This window comes from Homo sapiens, chromosome 21 (genome assembly GCF_000001405.40).
Source record: "Homo sapiens chromosome 21, GRCh38.p14 Primary Assembly".
Taxonomy (NCBI): domain Eukaryota; kingdom Metazoa; phylum Chordata; class Mammalia; order Primates; family Hominidae; genus Homo; species Homo sapiens.
This window is the reverse complement of record NC_000021.9, coordinates 17,368,894-17,376,280: the sequence shown is the minus strand read 5'-3', so window position 1 is coordinate 17,376,280 and position 7,387 is coordinate 17,368,894. Positions and strand designations below refer to the sequence as shown.

At 39.8% G+C, this 7,387-nt stretch overlaps 1 annotated feature.

Moving 5' to 3' along the window:
* Window positions 4,285-5,484: an enhancer, noted in NCBI's record as "P300/CBP strongly-dependent group 1 enhancer chr21:18743116-18744315 (GRCh37/hg19 assembly coordinates)". NCBI's record gives its function as "activates an origin of replication core promoter dependent on BRD2, BRD4, P300/CBP, MED14 and CDK7 cofactors, with strong dependence on P300/CBP, by STARR-seq in HCT116 cells {active_cell/tissue: HCT116}" and the evidence as "EXISTENCE:reporter gene assay evidence [ECO:0000049][PMID:35650434]".

The following is a 7,387-nucleotide window of genomic DNA, read 5'->3' as shown; positions in this document are numbered from 1 at the left end:
TCCTTGACTCGGAAAGGGAACTCCCTGACCCCTGGCGCTTCCCAGGTGAGGCAATGCCTCGCCCTGCTTCGGCTCGCCCACGGTGCGCGCACCCACTGGCCTGCGCCCACTGCCTGGCACTCCCTAGTGAGGTGAACCCGGTACCTCAGATGGAAATGCAGAAATCACCCGTCTTCTGCGTCGCTCACGCTGGGAGCTGTAGACCAGAGCTGTTCCTATTCGGCCATCTTGGCTCCTCCCCCCGGAAGCCCAATACCTAGTTTATTGAGAGTTTTTAGCATGAAGTGCTGTTGAATTTTATCTAAGACCTTTTCTGCATCTATTGAGATAATCATGTCGTTTTTGTCATTGGTTTTGTTTATGTGATGGATTATGTTTATTGATTTGCATATGTTGAACAAGCCTTGCATCCCAGGGATTAAGCCAACTTGATCGTGATGGATAAGCTTTTTGATGTGCTGCTGGATTTGGTTTGCTGGTATTTTATTGAGGATTTTCACATGAATGTTCGTCAGGGATATTGGTCTAAAATTCTCTTTTTTTGTTGTGTCTCTGCCAGGCTTTGGTATCAGGATGATGCTGGCCTCATAAAATGAGTTAGGCAGGATTCCCTCTTTTTCTATTGTTTGGAATTGTTTCAGAAGGAATCGTACCAGTTCCTCTTTGTACCTCTGGTAGAATTCGTTTGTGAATCTGTCCGGTCCTGGACTTTTTTTGGTTGGTAGACTATTAATTATTGCCTCAATTTCAGATCATGTTATTAGTCTATTCGGAGATTAAACTTCTTCCTGGTTTAGTTTTGGGAGGGTGTTTGTGTCCAGGAGTTTATCCATTTCTTCTAGATTTTCTAGTTTATTTGCGTAGAGGTGTTTATAGTATTCTCTGATGGTAGTTTGTATTTCTGTGGGATTGGTGGTGACATCCCCTTTATCTTTTTTTTATTGCGTTTATTTGATTCTTCTCTCTTTTCTTCTTTATTAGTCTTGCTGGCAGTCTATCAATTTTGTTGGTCTTTTCAAAAAACCAGCTCCTGGATTCACTGATTTTTTGAAGGGTTGTTTGTGTCTCTGTCTCTTTCAGTTCTGCTCTGATCTTAGTTATTTCTTGCCTTCTGCTAGCCTTTGAACATGTTTGCTCTTGCTTCTCTAGTCTTTTAGTTGTGATGTTAGGGTGTTGATTTAGATCTTTCCTGCTTTCTCTTGTGGGCATTTAGTGCCAAAAATTTCCCTCTACAGACTACTTTAAATGCATCCCAGAGATTCTGGTATGTTGTGTCTTTGTTCTCACTGGTTTCAAAGAACATCTTTATTTCTGCCTTCATTTTGTTATTTTCCCAGTAGTCATTCAGGAGCAGGTTGTTCAGTTTCCATGTAGTTGTGTGGTTTTGAGTGAGTTTCTTAATTCTGAGTTCTAATTTGATTGCACTGTGGTCTGAGAGACAGTTTGTTGTGATTTCTGTTCTTTTACATTTGCTGAGGAGTGCTTACTTCCAATTATGTGGTCAATTTTAGAATAAGTGTGATGTGGTGCTGAGAAAAATGTATATTCTGTTGATTTTGGGTGGAGAGTTCTATAGGTGTCTATTAGGTCCGCTTGGTCCAGAGCTGAGTTCAAGTCCTGGATATCCTTGTTAATCTTCTGTCTCGTTGATCTGTCTAATATTGACAGTGGGGTGTTAAAGTCTCCCATTATTATTGTGTGTCTCTTTGTAGGTCTCTAAGGACTTGCTTTATAAATCTCGGTGCTCCTGTATTGGGTGCATATATATTTAGGATAGTTAGCTCTTCTTATTGAATTGATCCCTTTACCATTATGTAATGGCCTTCTTTGTCTCCTTTGATCTTTGTTTGTTTAAAGTCTGTTTTATCAGAGACTAGGATTGCAACTCCTGCTTTTTTTTGCTTTCCATTTGCTTGGTAGATCTTCCTCCATCCCTTTGTTTTTAGCCTATGTGAGTCTCTGCATGTGAGATGGATCTCCCAAACACAGCACACTGACGGGTCTTGACTCTATCCAATTTGCCGGTCTGTGTCTTTTAACTGGGGGCATTTAGCCCGTTTACATTTAAGGTTAATAATGTTATTTGTGAATTTGATCCTGTCATTATCATGTTAGCTGGTTATTTTGCCCGTTAATTGATGCAGTTTCTTTATAGCATTGATGGTCTTTACAATTTGGCATGTTTTTGCAGTGGCTGGTACCGGTTGTTCCTTTCCATGTTTAGTGCTTCCTTCAGGAGCTCTTATAAGACAGGCCTGGTGGTGACAAAATCTCTCAGCATTTGCTTGTCTGTAAAGGATTTTATTTCTCCTTCACTTACGAAGCTTATCTTGGCTGGATATGAAATTCTGGGTTGAAAATTGTTTTCTTTAAGAATGTTGAATATTGGCCCCCACTCTCTTCTGGCTTGTGGAGTTCCTGCAGAGAGATCCACTGTTAGTCTGATGGGCTTCCCTTTGTTGGTAACCTGACCTTTCTCTCTGGCTGCCCTTAACATTTTTCCCCTCATTTCAACCTTGGTGAATCTGATGATTATGTGTCTTGTGGTTGCTCTTTTTGAGGAGTATCTTTGTGGTGTTCTCTGTATTTCCTGAATTTGAATGTTGGCCTGCCTTGCTAGGTTGGGGAAGTTCTCCTGGATAGTATCCTAAAGAGTGTTTTCCAACTTGGTTCCATTCTCCCCATCACTTTTAGGTATGCCAATCAAACGTAGATTTGGTCTTTTCACATAGTCCCATGTTTCTTGGAGGCTTTGTTCATTTCTTCTTACTTTTTTTCTCTGATCTTGTCTTCTCACTTTATTTCAATAATTTGATCTTCAATCACGATACCTACAGTGTTCTGTGTTTAAAGGGTCCCTGCACTTGGCTTAGTGCTCAACTGTCACTGTTTTGAAACTGCTAATCATTTTAACAAGGAGATCTGCATTTTTATTAGTACCAGGTCCCACAAATTTTGTAGCTGGTCCTGCTTTTGTCTAACAATGATGACTGGTAATATTTCTTTTTCTGAAGACAAAATTGGTCAGAACACAATGTTTGAATGGCTAAGAAGAAATCAGAAGTGTTCTAATATATGACTTTTTTGACAGTTATAGCCTTCCACATGCTACGATTATTTATGTATCTACATTATGTCTTCTATTACACTGGGGACTTCTGAGAGGACAAAGTATGTTCCCACAGCATATTTCTATTGTCTGTCTGTCTCTTTCTCTATCCATCCATTTGTCTAACTGCATATTAACAGTTGATATAATCTCATTTGATCTTCATCTAAACCCTGTAGGTGTTATTGTTGTTATTATTATTACCGTTATTATGTACTTATTATTACTGAAAACTGTGGCTCAGGGAGGTTATATGTCTAAGTCCACTCCCTTCATTATAATGAAGTTAGTGTTAGAACATAGAGTGACATGAATAGCAGCAGCTTCTTCTTCTTCTTCTTCTTCTTTTTTCATAATGCTTTCAATTTTCTAAGGTGCTTCTATAATCATTTCAGAAATTATAACTTTTATTGCACCAATGAAGAAACAGACTCAGAGATTTTGACAGATTGTTCAAAGCATAGTCATAATAATTTGCAGGCTCAAAGTTTGATCCAAGCTTAACTCCATCGACTGTTTTACAGTTCCAGGGGAAAAAATGAGGTACAACCAAAGTGTTCTAGTTTACATCAACAGATTTTTGCAAATGGTACATTTGTGCTAGTAAATTTTCTTGAGAGGGAGGACTAGAAGATACTACCTGCTTCTTTTTCTCTGTACAATTTTATCTATCTTAAAAATGTTTCTTCAGGTGCATTCTGGCTGCCACAAAATCTCTACAAACATTGTTAAAATAGTTTCAGCTAGTCTAATACAAACGTATTTGAAAACATAACCGGCAGGTACACTCAGTATCTTGAGAGTTCATGAGCAATGAAAATAATTATAAGAGTTATATACACAAGTCAGGTTGCTTAAGTATTTAAGCAAATATGTAATTATCTCATTAGTTTTAAAACAAATATTTCTGATTAATAATTGAAACAGGGCTCTAGTTGAAAAACACTAAAATTTGGGGGAAGAAAGTGAGATACTGGAAGGAAACACCTTGATTAAATTTTAATTTTCTGAAATCAAGATATAATTTAAAAACTGTTCTGAAATATTTAAACACTGTAACTTGAAACTCCTTCAGCCTCTATGTGGACAAATAAAATTGGCTAGTTTCAGAATTCCTTTACAGGAATAACTTTTCTCTATTGTCCTATAATGATATTCTCTAATCTCCTCAATGAAATAATTTTGTTTTGTTAAAAAATGTGGTCTCTGTTTTAAGAAGTAGAGTCAATTTTCAAGCTGATAATTTATCTGATATTATTACTATAAAGTAATTTGACAAAAGAATTTGGCATAATGAGCAAGGCTTGCTGAGAAATAAGATCAATATTCTCCATTATGGAAAGAGGAGAATAATTGTTTCACTTAGCTACAAAATGAAGAGATGGAAAACTGCATGTGATTAGAGGAAATTAGTCACTACCTGTTTCTCTTCTTCCTCATAGAGAAAGATTTTGGTTAGAAGTAGCAGAGTGAATCAGAAATCTGGTATGTGATGCCAGCGTGGGAATGCTTTTTTTTTTTTTTTTCTGTTTTCTTAGGTTCACTGAATGAGGCTCTGTAAATTAAAGTGACAGAAGACAGCTTAACAGGAGAGAAGGTTTGTTACATGTAAACATGCATGGCTTCACAGAAGAGAAGAGAAAACCCAAAGAACTGGTTAGACATGGGAGGTTCTATGTCATTTTTACAAAGAGTAATAAATCATGGAGAAGTAATTAGACAAAGGAACAGGGGGCTTAGTTTTCTAAGGGAGTTAAATTTTGGAGAGGTAAATATATAAGGGAAATTGATGGAAGATAAGGGTTGTCTTAGCCTGTTTGGGCTGTTATAACAAAAATGCCATAAACTGGGTAGCTTATAAACAACAGCAATTTATTCTTACAGTTCCGGAGGCTGAGAAGTTTAAGATCAAGGTGCTGGCAGATTTGATGTCTGGTGAAGGCTCACGTCCTGGTTAACAATGGCTGTTTTCTCACTGTAACCTCACGTGGAGGAAAGAGTGAATGCGCTTTCTGGGGTTTCCTTGTAAGGGCATTATTTCCATTCATGAGGGATCCGACCTCATGACCTAATAATCTAACACCATCACCTTAGGAATTTGAATTTCAACAGATAAATTTTGGGGGGACAAAAACTTTCAGACCACAGCAGAGTTATTTAGCAAGAGTTGTTACACAGGCTCCAGTTGTTGCCTTCTCCATTGATAAGAGTTGTCTCTGGTGATTAACAGCATCCTTCTCTTCCTGGTGTGGGAGGGGGAGACACTTTTATAAATGGATATTTACATTGCCTTTACAAAGGGAAATTTACACCCTGCTTTTAGACAGAAAGGAGGAAGGCAGAGAGCTTTTCCTGCACCTGCTATTGCTTAATTATCTTCAGCTCAAAATAATCCTTATGATAAAGTGGTATATTTTGGAGTGGCATACTCTAATTCCTGCCACCAGCATATATTTATAGAATATTTTTACCTGTGACTTCTCATCAGGGCCAGCTTCATGGCCATGTGACCTGTGTAGTCTCACGAGGCTCCACATGGGGAAGGACCTTGTGCTTATAATTGTTTCACTGCTGTGCCTTCGTTGTTTTGAAATTCTTAATAATTTATCAGTAAGGAACTTTGCTTTTCATTTTGCAGTGGGGCTCAAACTATGTGGCTACAAGCCATGTGACCAGTTCTCTCTGTGATGCTGCTAAGCCTGTTTAGCAACCTCTAGGTGGAAACCCCAAACTGCCATCACGGCCGGGCCACTCCTGGTTTTCCACTCTGAGCACAGGCTTTGCTTCCTACTTCATCAGGTGTGGTAAGCCTGAGTTCCCAACACATGTCTAAAAGTTACCTGGGCTGGGTGTAGTGGCTTACACCTCTAATCCCAGCACTTTGGGAGGCCTTGGTGGGAGGATCGCTTGAGCCCAGGAGTTCAAAACCAGCCTAGGCAACATAGCAAGATCCCATCTCTACAAAAAATAAAAAATTAGCCAGGTGTGGTGGCGCACACTTGTGGTCCTGGCTTGCGAGGCTGAGGTGGGAGGATCACTTGAGTCTGGGAGGTTGAGGCTGCAGGGAGCCATAATTGTGCCACTGCAGTCCAGCCTGGGGACAGAGTGACAAAAAAATAATTAAAAAGTTATCTGCATGCTTATCTCTGTCTTTTTCTCTGGAAAAAAAGATATATATATATATACATGTATATATATATATACGTATATACGTGTATATATATACACGTGTATATATATATACACACACACATATATATATATTTTCATTTGGGCTACGGAAGCCTCAACTTGTCCCACTTTCTCCAGAACCTTCTTCCATCAATTTTTTTCCTCTCCTAGGTCTTCAGCCTTTCTCTTTTCATTGGTTCCTTCTCTAAACAGATGCTTTATGAGGAGTGCTCTTGTTGGGCACTGGTAAAATGGTTTAACCACTGGACAGCTTTTATAGTGTACTACGCTGTTTTTGCATTGCTATAAAGAAATAGCTCAGACTGGCTAATTTACACAAAAAGAGGCTTAATTGTCTCTCGTTTCTGCAGGCTATACGGGAAACATATTGCTAGCTTCTGCTTCTAGGTAGGACTCAGGAAACTTATGGTGGAAGGTGAAGGAAAATCAGGTATGTCACGTGGCAGGAGTTGGAGCAAGAGGCGGGCAGGGGTGGGTGGGTGCCACGCTTTTTTTTTTTGAGATGGAGTCTGGCTCTGTCGCCCAGACTGGGTGCAGTGGCATGATCTTGGCTCGCTGCAGCCAGAACCTCCAGGGTTCAAACGATTCTCCTGCTTCAGCCTCCTGAGTATCTGGGATTAGGCACCTGCCACCATGGCCCGCTAGTTTTTCTAGTTTTAATAGAGATGGGGTTTCATCATGTTGGCCAGGCTGGTCTCAAACTCCTGACCTCAGCTGATCTGCCTGCCTTGGCCTCCCAAAGTGCTGGGATTACTGGCATGAGGGGTGTCACACTTTTAAACAACCAGGTTGCATGAGAAATGACTCACTATCACAAGTCATGAGGGACCCACCCTCATGACCCAAACACCTTCCACCAGGCCCCATTTCCAACATTGGGGATTACCTTTCAACATGAGATTTGGGTGAGGACACACATCCAAACTCTATCATATAGTATCCACTTGTCTTATGGAAACATATTCTTTAAACCCAAAGGAGGGGATGCAGCTGCCCTGGATAGTGGTTAACAGTTTGGACTTCGTGGAGTCCAAAGCTCAGCTCTGCTATTTACTAACTGTGTGGCCTTGGGCATGTTACTTAACG